General features: G+C 39.1%; 1 protein-coding gene and 1 long non-coding RNA gene across 24 annotated transcripts in view, besides 1 other annotated feature; one reads left to right on the top strand and one right to left on the bottom strand.

The window, feature by feature from the left end:
* Positions 1 to 15,976, bottom strand: part of SLC8A1-AS1 (SLC8A1 antisense RNA 1) — a 337,576-nt gene that overhangs the window by 29,517 nt on the left and 292,083 nt on the right. The window lies entirely within an intron of this gene.
* Positions 1 to 15,976, top strand: part of SLC8A1 (solute carrier family 8 member A1) — a 415,166-nt gene that overhangs the window by 286,743 nt on the left and 112,447 nt on the right. The window lies entirely within an intron of this gene.
* Positions 14,653 to 15,247: an enhancer, noted in NCBI's record as "OCT4-NANOG hESC enhancer chr2:40437586-40438180 (GRCh37/hg19 assembly coordinates)". NCBI's record gives its function as "activates a minimal SCP1, AML or CMV promoter by ChIP-STARR-seq in primed H9 embryonic stem cells {active_cell/tissue: H9 hESC(primed)}" and the evidence as "EXISTENCE:reporter gene assay evidence [ECO:0000049][PMID:30033119]".

Raw genomic sequence — 15,976 nt, 5'->3', positions numbered from 1 at the left:
AGAAAAAATAAAGGATTTAACAGACATAGGCAAGCGCGGCTTTAAGATTAAGTTCCTTGTTTTAACCTGATTTCCATCGTGAGCCCTTTACACAGAAATTAGGCACCTTTTACTGGGTGCAAGAGAGATTCTGCAAGATTCATTATAGTCTTTAACTCCGTCCCACCTCTAGTGCCTTCTCTCCAGTCACCACATTCTTTTGTTTAAAGAAAAAAAGAAGAGAATAGGACAAATGCCATTGTCTAGCCAAGAGAAAACTATTAGTAGCCATTAATATGGTAACAAGAACTAGCACATAGATGGGTACCCACTGTGTGCCAAATACTATTTTAAATACCTTATGTATACTTCCTTATTGAATATTCAAATTAAATTTGAGATACTGTTTATCATTTTATCATTTCCACTATACAAATAGGGAAATGAAAGCTTAGCAAGGTCGTATGCCCACAGTCACACAACTAGCCATAATTAAAGCCACTGGTATGTGAATTCCTATGCTGTTTTCTGTATATCCTGCTGACAGTAAGTAGATTCCTTGTTTTCTTTTGGACCAATCACTCAGAGGATAAAGTGGGATACAGTTGGAAGTCCTATAGTTACCTACTCAAAACCTAAGACTTCAAACCTTCAGGGAAGCTGTTGTCTTAAATGGAAAAACCAAGAAACCAGAAATGATAGGCCCAGGTTCTAGCTCTCCATCAGTCAAACATGAACTTTACTCTCGCCTTCTGCAGAAGATGAGTCAGTATTCCTACTTCAGGAGTTGTAAAAATTAAGCACATCTCAAGCCTGGTAATAAGTTTCTGTTCATATCCTTCACTCACTTTTTGATGGGGTTGTTTTTTCCTTGTAAATTTGTTTAAGTTGTTTGTAGATTCTGGATATTAGACCTTTGTCAGATGGATAGATTGCAACTCATCTTCTGCAGAAGATGAGGCAATATTCCTGTTTGAGGAGTTGTAAAAAATAAGCAAATTTTATGCCTGATAATAATTCAGAATCACTTGTGCAGCTTTAAAAATATCACTTGCCTAGCTCTAACTCAAAGCCTAAGCAATCAGTTTGTCTAGTGGGTGATGGGTTGAAACAGGTAGGCAATTATGTATTTTTTTCATTTCCGTGGATGATGGAGCTGCACAGCCATGGTAACCATGGATCAGATGAGGTGTGTGAACCTCAAGCCACTTAGCACAGTGCCAAGAACACATTAAATCATTCTTATTCTCCAGCTATGACGTCTGTGTTATCTCCCTCGTATTCTGCCTCTTTTCTCACAAAATGATGGAAATGTATCTCTTGGGAACCTCCAGTTCTAAATAGGGGCTTTTAGCGTTGAGCAGATTCCAAGCAAATCTTATGAGAGACAAAGTACACTGTTGGCCTCTCTGACTCTGCCTCCTGAAGCCTTTTAATCGGGCCTCTGTCTTTTCAGACCTCCCCAGGATGCCAACCCATACTAGACAGCCTCATCTCATCCCAAGCCTATACGTTTGCTATTCAATTAAAAGAGTATGGTGCTAAGTGATTGGCTACAGTAATCCACCGCACTAGACAATTAGCTATCATTTCACTGCCGAGCAACATCATGTATGAGTCCCTACGAAGCGAACATTCCAGGCCTTTTAATACAGTTGTGGTGGATGTATTTATGGCTATACCATGCTGGGCCCACATCACTTAAATAGCTACTTATGTCATTTTAGGGCAAGGTCTGCTCTAATTTTTGGAGGCTCCTCCTGCTTTGTCTCTGATGGTTACAGAAATGGGGCAAACCTCTTGCTCATCCTCTCCAACTTCTCCTATTATAAATTAGAACATGCTCACTTCTAATACACTGACAATCCAACAGATTCGGGAAAAAGCAGTTCTTGTGATTAAAAAAAAATAGTTACTTAATTGAAGTGAATCAGATATTTGTCATTTATATGTGTAACTTACTGCTTTCTGTTTGCTGTCTTGAGCCCAGCATCTAGTATTGTGATATTGTGACATAGTTTTCAACAGAGCATGAGAGCCTAGTTGCAAATTGGTCTTTTTTACCCACTAGTGATTTCCAAAACCTAGGGAGAAAGAAAAGGAATAGAGAGGTACAAGACAGTTTTAATATTTTCCCTGGAAAAGAAACCATCCAAATAGCAATGACTAATACTTAAGACACTCAGACTTTTTTTTAATATATACTTTAAGTTCTGGGATACATGTGCAGAAAGTGCAAGTTCATTACATAGGAATACACGTGCCATGACGGTTTGCTGTACCCATCAACCCGTCATCTGCATTAGGTATGCCTCCTACTGCTATCCCTCCTTTAGCTCCCCACCCCCTGACAGGCCCTGGTGTGTGATGTTCCCCTCCCTGTGTCCATGTGTTCTCATTGTTCAACTCCCACTTATGAGTGAGAACATGTGGTGTTTGGTTTTCTGTTCCTGTGTTAGTTTGCTGAGAATGGTGGTTTCCAACTTCATCCATGTCCCTGCAAAGAACATGAACTCATCCTTTTTTATGGCTGCATAGTATTCCATGGTGTATATGTGCCACATTTTCTTTATCCAGTCTATCATTGATGGGCATTTGGGTTCGTTCCAACTCTGCTGTTGTGAATACTGCTGCAATAAACATACATGTACATGTGTCTTTCTAGTAGCATGATTTATAATCCTTTGGATATATAACCAGTAATGGGATTGCTAGGTCAAATGACATTTCTAGTTCTAGATCCTTGAGGAATCGCCACACTTTTTTCCACAATGGTTGAACTAATTTATACTCCCAACAAAAGTGTAAAAGGGTTCCTATTTCTTCACATCCTCTCTAGCATCTGTTGTTCCCTGACTTTTTAATGATCACCATTCTAACTGGCATGAGATGGTATCTCATTGTGGCTTTGATTTGCATTTCTCTAATGACAAGTGATGATGAGCTTTTTTTCATATGTTTATTGGCCACATAAATGTTTTCTTTAAGAGGTGTCTGTTCATATCCTTTGCCCACTTTTTGATGGGGCTGTTTTTTTCTTGTAAATTTGTTAAAGTTCTTTGTAGATTCTGGATATTAGCCCTTTGTCAGATGGATAGATTGCAGTTATTTTTCCCATTCTCTAGGTTGCCTGTTCACTCTGATAGTTTCTTTTGCTGTGCAGAAGCTTTTCAGTTTAATCAGATCCCATTTGTCAATTTTGGCTTTTGTTGCCATTGCTTTTAGTGTTTTAGTCATGAAGTCTTTGCCCATGCCTATGTCCTGAATGGTATTGCCTAGGTTTTCTTCTAGGGTTTTTATGGTTTTAGGTCTTATGCTGAAGTCTTTAATCCATCTTGAGTTAATTTTTGTATAAGGTATAAGGAAGTGGTCCAGTTTCAGTTTTCTGCGTATGGCTAGCCAGTTTTCCCAACACCATTTATTAAGTAGGGAGTCGTTTCCCCATTGCTTGTTTTGGTCAGGTTTGTCAAAGATCAGATGGTTGTAGATATGTGGTATTATTTCTGAGGCCTCTGTTCTGTTCCACTGGTATATATATATATATCTAATTTGGTACCAGTACCATGCTGTTTTTGTTACTGTAGCCTTGTACTATAGTTTGAAATCAGGTAGTGTGATGCCTCCAGCTTTGTTCTTTCTGCTTAGGATTGTCTTGGCTACACAGGCTCTTTTTTAGTTCCATATGAAATTTACAGTAGCTTTTTCTAATTCTGTGATGAAAGTCAATGGTAGCTTGATGGGGATAGCATTGAATCTATAAATTACTTTGGGCAGTATGGCCATTTAAATGATATTGATTCTTCCTATCCATGAGCATGGAATGCTTTTCCATTTGTTTGTGTCCTCTCTTATTTCCTTGAGCAGTGGAGTTCTCCTTGAAGAGGTCCTTCACATCCCTTGTAAGCTGTATTTCTAGGTATTTTATTCTCTTTGTAGCAATTGTGAATGGGAGTTCACTCATGATTTGGCTCTCTGATTGTCTATTATTGCTGTATAGGAAGACTTGTGATTTTTGCACATTGATTTTGTATCCAGAGACTTTGCTGAAGTTGCTTATCAGCTTAAGGAGATGAAACGTTGGGGTTTTCTAAATATACAATCATGTCATCTGCAAACAGAGACAAATTGACTTCCTCTCTTCCTATTCAAATACCCTTTATTTCTTTCTCTTGCCTGACTGCCCTGGCCAGAACTTCCAATACTATGTTGAATAGGAGTGGTGAGAGAGGGCATCCTTGTCTTGTGCCAGTTTTCAAAGGGAATGCTTCCAGGTTTTGCCCATTCAGTATGATAGTGGCTGTGGGTTTGTCATAGATAGCTCTTATTATTTTGAAATACGTTCTATCAATACCTAGTTTATTGAGAGGTTTTAGCATGAAGGGGTGTTGAATTTTACTGAAGGCCTTTTCTGCATCTATTGAGATAATCATGTGGTTTTTGCCATTGGTTCTGTTTATGTGTTGTATTATGTTTATTGATTTGCATATGTTGAACCACCCTTGCATCCCAGGGATGAAGCTCACTTGATCATGGTGGATAAGGTTTTTGATGTGCTGCTGGATTCAGGTTGCCAGTATTTTATTGAGGATTTTCACATCGATGTTCATCAGGGATATTGGCCTGAAATTTTCTTTTTTGTTGTTGTTGTGTCTCTGCCAGGTTTTGGTATCAGGATGATGCTGGCCTCATAAAATGAGTTAGGGAGAAGTCCCTCTTTTTCTGTTGTTTGGAAGAGTTTCAGAAGTGATGGTACCAGCTCCTCTTTGTACCTCTGGCAGAATTTGGCTATGAATCTGTCTGGTCCTGAGCTTTTTTTTGGTTGATAGGACTTTTTTTTTGAAGAAAAAAAAATTCAACTATTAAGAAGTGGGCTTTTACTAAGCTCTTTCTCTTCCTCATCTAGTCTGAATCTGTTACAATCTTGCATCATTCTGTAAGCATCAAGCAGCCTGTCAGGAAAAGGATGAACAAAAAAGAACTAGAAAGAGCGAGACAAATAGAGAGAGCTCCAAGCCAAGAAGACTTTTCACCACCCCCACATCCATGCCCTAAAATAGACATAAAACTGCACATTCTTATAATTCATTGACCAGGTTAGGAGTTAGCAGAAATTAATAGCTGAGTGCTTTTTTCTTAATGGAACGACTGCTTTGTCAGGAAAATAAAACAGAAAAACTGCAAAATTCAACTAGTCTCCAGATCAGCTAGCCAGCAAGTGGCAAACAAAGTGCACAGAGATCTGTGCCCAAAGGCCGCTCAATTTAGGACCTTCCCAACAAGCACCCAAATGGCGATGATGGCTAAGCATTGAGCTTAAACATGACTCACTAATGACCTCCTTTAAAAATAGTGCTGTTCTTCCCTTGCACAAGAGGTGAAAGAGCCAAGTCAGAGATGTCTCAGCTGTCAGAGTTGGCACTCCCATGGAAGCCCAGATAGCTGTAATTTATTTTTTCTCTTTTTTCTTCTTCTCTCCACTGTTTTCCTCCTGCTTCTTCCTCTCTTGTCTTTCTCCTTTTCCTTTGTCTCTTTCTCTTTCTTCTTTTTCCTCAAAAAAAAAAAAAAGCCTATTTTGTTTCAGCAACAATTATTCTCCTTTTCATGCCCATTGCTAGCCAGTTGAAAGGTCACAGGTTCAAAGATATAACAAGAGCCAAGAAACTTTGGGCTCATTGGCCTGAGATAAAAAATTATACATAAGAAATAGAGATGTATCAATCTCAGATAAGAAAAAAATCTTATTTATTTGGCACAATTTTAGTCAAATTTTGCCCTAACCAAATTTTGACAGAAAGATGTATTGATTTTCTAAAAAAAAAAAAAAAAAAAAAAAAAAAATCCTATAGTAGGGAGGCTCTGTTGGAGCTAAATCACATTTTTCAAGCAATCTCATGCATAGCAAACAAAGCACATCTCTCTCATCAACTAGGTTTTGCTAATTAAGATACTGATTTGATTCTTTTCTATTTCTCAAACTTAAAAATCATTATTGCTATAAACTGAAGTATTTTAAAACACCTTTGCTTGTTTGATTGGCTAACAACTTATTAGAATAAAAGTCTGAAGAGAAGAAAAAAACTTATAATTGTAATGCCTGAGGCCTCTTAAAAAATGTTTGTAAGTTTTCTTATATACCAGATAGTATCGCTGAAGGAAACTACATGGGTATATTTCAACTTCATTTCTATTTCTCTTGCCCTGAAATTCTCTGCAACATTGAGTTGGGCACAAAATATCTAATGTCTTCAATGAGCTCTTAAAGGTTGATGAGAAATTGAAGAAAATCTTGACAATATTTTGAACTGTTTTGAAAGAACTCCCTGCAATTCTGTCCATAGCAAACTTTGCCATGTGCTGACAGTAGGGATGAGGCAATTGCCACAATTACTCCTTGTAACCTCAGCCAGTTTCTGAATTTTAATTCCATGTAAAAAGCCTCCAAGGTCAAACAAGAGCTGTGCTTCTCCACTTTTCCTTTTTCCTTGTTCTCAATGGTTTCTCCTCTATGAACACACACCTCTAAAGATTAATCTCCATGACCCAACTCCGCTCCAGCATCCCAATTGAAAGGGGCACAAAACTTGGGTTCCCCAAGATTAGGAGAATCCTACATGTAGTCTTCCCTGCTTAACTTCTCCAACAAAGATCTTTATGATTATGGAGATTATATCAGACCAAGAAATAGGATTTGACTTTGAGTGTTACAGAGGGAAAGCCCAGTTTCCTGTGAAGCACTAGCTAATATTGCTTTCTAAGTCAAAACTTTAGTGTAAGTTAAAAAAAGCACTCAGGGGTAACTCCCTGCCACAAACGTTGGGCACACAGCCAGGGCACTGTGCTATTAGCCTCGGGGTGAGCCCAGATTCCCAGAACATGCAAGTCAGCATTTTTCATCCAACGATAGAGGTGTCCTGCTGAAATCTAAAATAGAAGAAACAGGTCTACCAATCTCTGCAAGCAAGGATGTTAATTAGTTTTTTTTTTTTCCCCCAGAAGAATGTTTTCATCTTTCATAAAGCATTATGGTCACTAGATAAATGTAATCATTTATAATCATAAAGTACATAAGCTAAGGTCTATATGCCTCCTTTTTTTTCCCTTTGCTTTATATACAGAAAATTCCATATACGATAATATTAGGTTGGTGCAAAATTAATTGCAGATTTTGCCATTAAAAATGGGCCATATTAAAAGTAATGGCAAAATAGTAAAAGTAGCGGCAAAATGTTAAAAAGTAATTGTAAAAACCACAATTAATTTTGTACCAATCAAATATGTAATGGTAATTTTAACCTACTTGGTCATATCAAATTTTTTGTTATTTAGAAACAGTCTTTCTAGCTGCCTAGTTTTATTCAAAAATTCTGTGCCTAATTTATTGCCACTCCCTTCTTCACAATACAGTAATTACATGCAATTTGTAATGAGTTTATCAAAGGAAAGCACAGCTAGCAACAGGAAATGGGACATTTTTATGTAAGCCTAGCAGTTCAGGTGCCCTTAATAGGTAGCAGGAAGAATAAATACTGATAAAGTGTAACTTAGATCTAATTCATTCTTAGCTGAAACTTTCATTAATAACAATGCCAGTCTTACAGTTAGATTTACAAACTAACTGTAAGAAGTTGAAATATAACCTCCCATAGTACTCTGAAGGCTGTGTCTCTTTACTACCCCACTGAGACAAATTAATTGTTCCCTTTCTCTTAATATTGGTCCTGTAGGCCTGGATGCAAATGCATGCCTTCACACAATCTGTTTACCACAGCTATTTTATCTCAGAATACAGAAATGTCTGCTGCCAGATCAAATCTAAGAGAAGTATATGGTTACTTAACAATATTTTTCACTTTCTAACCCTAGTTCTGTTGCCATGCAGGTATGATTTAGATTGACTTATCAATTAAGTTATGTAACTGCTTGAAATTAACATTATGTGTGTCAATGTTGTGATTACAATCTTCAAACTACTGGTTTCACAGACTGACAGATGGGATAATTTTAGCAAAGCCTCACCTTCTTATTCTATTGAATATGGTTCCTACTCATTGTCTAGGGTAGAGGTTGACATTACAGTTCACTCTAAAGTAGGAATCCTCTGAGCTCACAAGAACACCAAAAGCAGCATTAGGAAGCCTCCCAAAAGATGACATCTATTGTGTTGCCTACACAACAACAACAGAAAGAAAACCTTGAGTGTAGAGAAGAGAAGCATCCAAGAAACTATACAGGACAAAGGAAAAGCCTAATAAAAACTGAAGCCCAAAGGAAAGATTCAGGTCAAGAAATAACATGCACCTGACTTCAAATTATACTACAAGCCTACAGTAATCAAAACAGCATGGTACTGGTACCAAAACAGATATATAAACCAATGGAACAAAACAGAGACCTCAGAAATAACACCACACATCTACAACCATCAGATCTTTGACAAACCTGACAGAAACAAGCAATGGGGAAATGATATCCTATTCAATAAATGGTGGTAGAAAAACTGGTTAGCCATATGCAGAAAACTGAAACTGGACCACTTCCTTACACCTTATACAAAAATCAACTCAAGATGGATTCAAGACTTTAATGTAAAACCCCAAACCATAAAAACCCTAAAAGAAAACCTAGGCAATATCTAGGCATGGGCAAAGACTTCATGACGAAAACACCAAAAGCAATGGCAACAAAAGTCAAAATTGAGAAATGGGATCCAATTAAACTAAAAAGCTTCGGCATAGCAAAAGAAACTATCCTCAGAGTGAACAGGCAACCTACAGAATGGGAGAAAATTTTTGCGATCCATCCATCTGACAAAGATCTAATATCCAGAATCTACAAAGATTGTAAACAAATTTACAAGAAAAAAATAACCCCATCAAAAAGTGGGCGAAGGATCTGAACAGACACTTCCTAAAGAAGACATTCATGCAGCCAACAAAAATATGAAAAGAAGCCCAACATCACTGGTCATTAGAGAAATGCAAATCAAAACCACAGTGAGATTCCATCTCATGCCATTCAGAGTGGCAATTATTAAAAAGTCAAGAAACAATAGAGACTGGCGACACAATGGAGAAATAGGAATGCATTTACACTGTTGATGGGAATTTAAATTAGTTCAGCCATTGTGGAAGACAGTGTGGCGATTCCTCAAGGATCTAGAATCAGAAATACCATTTGATCAAGCAATCCCATTACAGGGTATACACTCAAAGGAATATAAATCATTCTACTATAAAGACACATGCACATGTATGTTTATTGAAGTACTATTTCCAATAGCAGTCATGGAGCCAATACAAATGCCCATCAATGATAGACTAGATAAAGAAAATGTGGTACATATACACCATGGAATACTCTGCAACCATGAAAAGAATGAGATCATGTCCTTTGCAAGGACATGGATGAAGCTGGAAGCCATCATCTTCAGCAAACTAACTCAGGAACAGAAAACCAAACACCACATGTTCTCACTCATAAGGGGGAGTTGAACATTGAGAACACATGGACACAGGGAGGGGGAACACCACACACCAGGGCCTGTCGGTGGGTGGGTGTTGAGGGGAGGAAACTTAGAGGATGGGTCAACAGGTGCAGCAAACCACCATGGCACACGTATACCTATGTAACAAACTTGCACGTTCTGCACATGTATCCCAGAGTTTAAAGTAAAATTTTTAAAAAATTGTAAAAAAAAAAAAGCATACACTGGGAAGGCTTATATGTCAACCCATGATCACCCATTGGCAATTAATTCTGGGTATTTTGTCAGATATGACACCAGTGCAGAGGAGTTTGGTAGGATTATGAAAAAACAAATCTCCACTGGTTTTGGAGCTGAGAACTATGGAATGATTGGAATAGATTTTCAGGTAGATGGCTTTAGCAATTATAAGGTAATAATAATAATAGTAGCTAACATAGGCCAAGCACAGTGGCTCAGACCTGTAATGCCAACACTACATTGATACAGGAGGATTGCTTGAAGCCAGGAGTTCAAGACCAGCCTGGGCAACAAAGCAAGACCTTGTCTTTACATAACTTTTTTTTTTTTTTTTTTTTTTTTTTTTGAGACGGAGTCTCGCTTTGTCGCCCAGGCCGGACTGCGGACTGCAGTGGCACAATCTCGGCTCACTGCAAGCTCCGCTTCCCGGGTTCACGCCATTCTCCTGCCTCAGCCTCCCGAGTAGCTGGGACTACAGGCGCCCGCCACCGTGCCCGGCTAATTTTTTGTATTTTTAGTAGAGACGGGGTTTCACCTTGTTAGCCAGGATGGTCTCGATCTCCTGACCTCATGATCCACCCGCCTCGGCCTCCCAAAGTGCTGGGATTACAGGCGTGAGCCACTGCGCCCGGCCTCTACATAACATTTTTTAAAAAATTAGTTGGGCATAGCAGTGTGTACCTTTAGACCCGGCTACTAGGAAAGCTGAAGCAGGAAGATAGCTTGAGTCCAGGAGTTCAAGGTTGCAGTGAGCCATGAACACACCACTTCACCCCAGCCTGAGACAGAGTAAGATCCTATCTCTAAAGATAATAATATTAATAATAATAATTAGCATATATTGAGCTCTTTCTCTGTGCTACAACTCATAAATACTTTAGCAGAGAAAAGAATTGAAACTATTAAATTACACATATAATAAATACATAGCACAAAAAGAACTAGCAAATATAAAACTCATAAGGTTCTGTTTGACTTTACAGTGTTCCTGAAATTGAAAGTAGGGACCATCCCAAACTAGTCCACTGCTCCATGAGAATTGATCCGGTAAAATCATTGACATATCCATAGAAAGGAAAATCCAGAGTAAAAAACTAAGGTAGTTTGGGATGAGACAGCCCTCAAATATCCCTTCCTTTATCCATTAATTGCTTAAAATGCCTACCATATGTTATTCTTCTGAATGTTGGCCTGGAAATTCTCAAAAAAATACTGATCCATTATATGAGTTAAGATAATATACAAACAAACAGGCCGGATGCAGTGGCTCACGCCTGTAATCCCAGCACTTTGGGAGGCCAAGGCAGGCGGATCAGGAAGTCAGGAGTTCGAGACCAGCCTGGCGAAACCCCGTGTCTACTAAAAATACAAAAAAAAAAAATTAGCCAGGTGTGGTGTTGGGCACCTGTAATCCCAGCTACTCGGGAGGCGGAGGCAGGAGAATACTTGAACCTAGGAGGCGGAGGTTGCAGTGAGCCAAGATTGCGCCATTGCACTCCAGCCCAGGAGACAGTGTAAGACTCCATCTCAGAAAAGAGGAAAAAAAAAAAAAAAGATAGTGTACAAAGAAATGATCTGCTAAACAACTTCTGAACACGGGGCCTGGAAAGCATAAAAGACAGCAGATATATTTGGGGAGAGTTGCGGGGTTGAGGGCAACTCTCCAGCATGGCTTACTGACCTGGGAAGGAAGTCTGCTTTTCTGTGGGCAAAGCAGACTCCAGAGACTGTGAGGAAAACTTCACCTGATTCATAGCTGAAGAGGCTATAATTCCTTTTGTTAATATCCAGCAATATGTTTTGGTCTTGAACATGTGAGGCTTCACATGTGCATGTGTGTGCATATTCATACATGGAAAATGTATGGGGAGAAACAAATGTGGAGGCAGACGCAGATGCCAGATTCCTAGCCCTCATCAAATGGGACTTCTTCAGCCACACAGTCATCATTTCTACCACTGGCTACACACTTAGGTTTTCTGAGGATTTCTGAATATCTGTGATCATCTGTGGCTATTCATTTTCCATGACCCATTTAATTGAAAGGTGGTGTGGTTACTGTTTTTCTTTTAGGAAAGCAGAGATTATTGCCCTGAAGTCTCTGGAAATTAGCCACAGCTTGCAAATTTGGAACACCCAAAGCAAGCTTGATGAATTATCCCCAGTGTAATATCCCCAGCGCTTCTGCCAGAAGAAAGGCTTGGCAGTGTGAGAGAATTGATGCAGCTCTAGTTTCTGTTGTACCAGCTGCAAAGTGGACTTCGCCCCTTCTACCAAAACACAGAGTAAAATGATCACTTTTGAAAAAATATTTGAGATGACGGGGGAAAAAATGTCCTTGGGATTGTTTGTCAGATGCTGGGCTGGTTGGTGTTAAGCATAATTGTGAAGAAATGAAGGGACTTTGGTTAAGTACCCCAAGTTTCCTCAGTATCTTAGTACTTTGCTACTGCTGGTGCCCCTTTCGGTTATTCATTCATCCATGAGCAACTGTCACACATGACATTCACCTGCCGAAGATGCACCTTAAGCTCAAGATTTAGTTGCTGGTGATGGCATTGTCCCTTTTTGATAGAATATTGAAAGACAACAGCATTGATCAGCAGGTTCTGGGTGGTTAGTTGGTGGTTCTGGGATCCACTTACTCCATCTACTGGTCAAATATATCCAGTCTAGAAAAGGCTATTTCCCTTGGCTGTGGACAGTGGATACAGCTCTAAATAAACATCTTCAATGGTAGGTTTCATTCCTGGGTCACTCGGTGATCTTACCAGTGAATTATCTGTGGGTACTCATATCACTGGGAACAGGAATTTGAGGCCTGGAAATTTGACATGAAATGTGTGATCATTTCTGAAGTCATCTAACTCAAAGTAGAGACCTACAGAGAAGAGACAACTTAGTCATCTTTAAATTATGAAGACTTAAAGCTATGGCATAGTACCTTAAATTCTGGTCAGTATTGATCTGCAGCTAATGATGATGTCACCTCCACAAATCAGACATGGGTGCTTTACAGAGCTACTTACAGGCAACTTCTGGCCCTGACTTAGCCTTAGCTCTCTTGCCCAACCCCCCTACACACACATGCTTTGTTGCCCTAAATTTATGAATCTACACATAGGACTCCTCAACTAAGTCTACATGTGGCTGATAGCAGAAGGCAGCACTGTTGCACAAACAGGAACTCTGAGTTCAAGCAATACTCTGCCCAAGAATTTGAAATTGTTGATGCAGAAAGAGAAAAGAGCAAGCAAGAAGAAAGAAAAGAAAAGAAGAAGAGTCTTCACTTGTTAATGCTCCATCTTGCTTTCTTTGAGGTGCTCCTAATGCCTTCAGAAGGCAGCAGATTTATAGATCTGAAGAGAAACAACAGGATCCCTGATGCCTTCAAGATATTGCATCTCGGCCAGGCATGGTGGCTCACATCTGTAATCCCAGGAGTTTGGGAGGACCACACAGACACGTTGCAAGGTCAGGAGATACAGACCATCCTGGCCAACATGGCGAAGCCCCGTCTCTACTAAAAATACAAAAATTAGCTGGGTATGGTGGCATACACCTGTAGTCCCAGCTACATGGGAGGCTGAGGCAGGAGAATCGCTTGAACCCGGGAGGCAGAGGTTGCAGTGAGCCAAGATCGCACCACTGCATTCCAGCCTGTCGACAAAGCGAGACTTGTCTCAGGAAAAAAAAAAAAAAAAAAGATATTGCATCTCTTCTGTTTAGCACCTGGAAATAAGTAACAGATAAGTCGCCAGAATGAGGAACTATGACTTAAAAGTCTTCCCTTAGATTAACTGGGATTTATGTCTCTTTCTCTGTCTCTCTCTCTGGGCCATATTGAAATCCTTTTCCTCCTCTTCCTCTCTTCATTGCTTATTTAAATTACATAAAATCTTTATGGATTTTTCAAACCAAGACAAATACAGTGCATTGGAGAATATATTATGAACAATTGAAAATGTTTTATTTATGCTCTAAATATATTTTGTTCATCAAATTTGGATTAGGTATAGAATTATGATATTATGTGGGCATTAACTAGTGATGCTGTTCCCTATTTTATTCATGCATCATCTTTTATGTTTTTAGTGTGTGACAGACACATCACTTCACTGTTCACATCTTCAGAAAAATTATTTTGCTTTATTTCTAAAGTGATCCGGATTCTGTATCACTCCCATGAAATAAAAGAGGACCCTAGAACCTGGGTTTTTCATCTACCTCTTTGCTGAATCCAGCCCCTTAAGGATGACTGATTTTGTCCAAGTCCAGATTTCCAGAAGTTCTTTTTTGGCCCTGATAGTCCAAACCATTTGAAATACCTTCAGGATCCATTCATTTCACTTCCATAACTTCACAGGGTCTGCTGCTCTGCTTTTCTCATTGTCCCTGAGGGATTCTTTTCTGGCTTGTGTTTCTCTTCCCACCACCTAAACATGAAAATCTTCCAAGATGCCTTTTTCAACCACTTAGCATGCCTCCAAGTATCTTTCCTTTGCTAAATTTCCACATAATGACTATCACTTCAGCATTGATGACTTTCCCATCTATACCTTTAGCTCTAATCATTTTTGTAAACTTCAGGTCTACATTTTTAGCTGTCTATTGGAAAAGCCCAACATTTTGAAGTCCTACTGGCTTCTCAAAAAGACAAATAAAATGTCAAAAACTAAACTGAATTTAAAAGTTCCACTATCATTAGAAAACTTTATAGGAAGAACTAGTGTAGTTATGTTAAAGGTGCCAACGTACATGAGTTTCAGATCTCATGAGTATGCACAGTAAAATAATTAAAAGGAAGAGATGAGCAAGGTTGTTGTGAGATGACTGGAGAGATGCCCACTAGCTCCATGCCCCACAGTGGGTCCTCAGCCAATGGCAGCCATTCATTTTATCACTGAACTTGACATAACAATTATTTCTAGACTGGAAAGACAAAGACCTACTTCAGAATGGCCTGGCTTTTCCAAAGGTGATATACCACTAGAAAATGAGGGTCTTGATAAAATCTAGCAAGGACTATGTCCTGTGTAAGTTATCCCTCATCTTCTTTTATAATTGCATGTAGCCTTATGATGTTAATGATACCTTATATACATAACCATTCTGTATTCTGTACATGACAAAAAGGTAAAGGTCAACAGGCCTTCCAAGAAGTAAACTGAGTGGGAGTGAGAATAAAGAGAGAGCTGATGAGAAGCAATTCAGAAGAGTAGGGAATCTAAAGGTCAGAAACCATTTCCCAGTGTGGGTGCAGAAATGACAATAAGTGCTTCAATTACTCAGCATTCATTAGATAATACTGAATTTCTGGTGAAACAGGAAATTCATTTGCATTTCAGATTTACCCCTTCTCCACCTTTCATTTTACAGCAAGAGCCCTTTTAAGATGACTTAATGGGCCTTTCTCCCCCCTTAAAATTCCGAAGAAAGCATATACACTACATTCAGTAGTGACTAACACTTTCTTAATTATCCCTTCAATTTCTTGAAATCAAATGTGATTTGGTTGGGTCCTGTTTAAAAGTCATGCCAGTCTATTCAAAAGACAAGCACTGGATGATCCCCTTGAAACCTTTAGAAACTGAAGTCACTACTTGTAGAAGATTAAGACCTTGAGCCCAAATGCAAAGAGCTATGAGTTCAGTGAAAATCCAGCCAGCAGGTATCTTCTTCCTGCTGTGTTAATAAAGCTCTTGTTTCAGGCACTCATCTGCAGCTCTTCATACCCTTCTCTTATAGCATCAATTCCCAAGAGCATTAGTTGTCAGGCCCTCTTGCTACATGATATTTAAATAGGTACTGTATATGTTTTCCTTACTGGAGCCATAGCTGATTGGTAATTCATAATTTAAACCCTCCCCAAAGATAGATAGATGTTTAAAAGGCACTGTCTAGGCCTCAGTTTACTAAAGCAGAATTAGATTAGATTAGAACTAGCAAATATACATTCTCTCACCTGCCAACTCATCTGCCAACTCAGATCAATCAATAGAGGCTGCCTGGAGATTTGAGAGCTGTGGATACAGAGGCAATATTAAGTAGTAGGCACTTGATGATGTCATAAGTCAATCTGTATTTCCCTAGTCCATTTCCTCTGCCACTGTCTTAGCTACTTCAGTCAAGCCTTCTTCTCCCCATTCAGATGTCCAGTGCCTCCCCTCCTGTGTCTTACTGTCAGCTGATGATCTTGCTTTGCTTCCTGTCTCCCTGAGAAAATAGAAGCAATCAGAAGAGACTCTCCGCAGACTCCCATGACCACATCTA

The sequence above is a fragment of the Homo sapiens genome, chromosome 2 (genome assembly GCF_000001405.40).
Source record: "Homo sapiens chromosome 2, GRCh38.p14 Primary Assembly".
NCBI lineage: Eukaryota > Metazoa > Chordata > Mammalia > Primates > Hominidae > Homo > Homo sapiens.
This window is presented reverse-complemented; position numbering and strand designations above follow the sequence as displayed.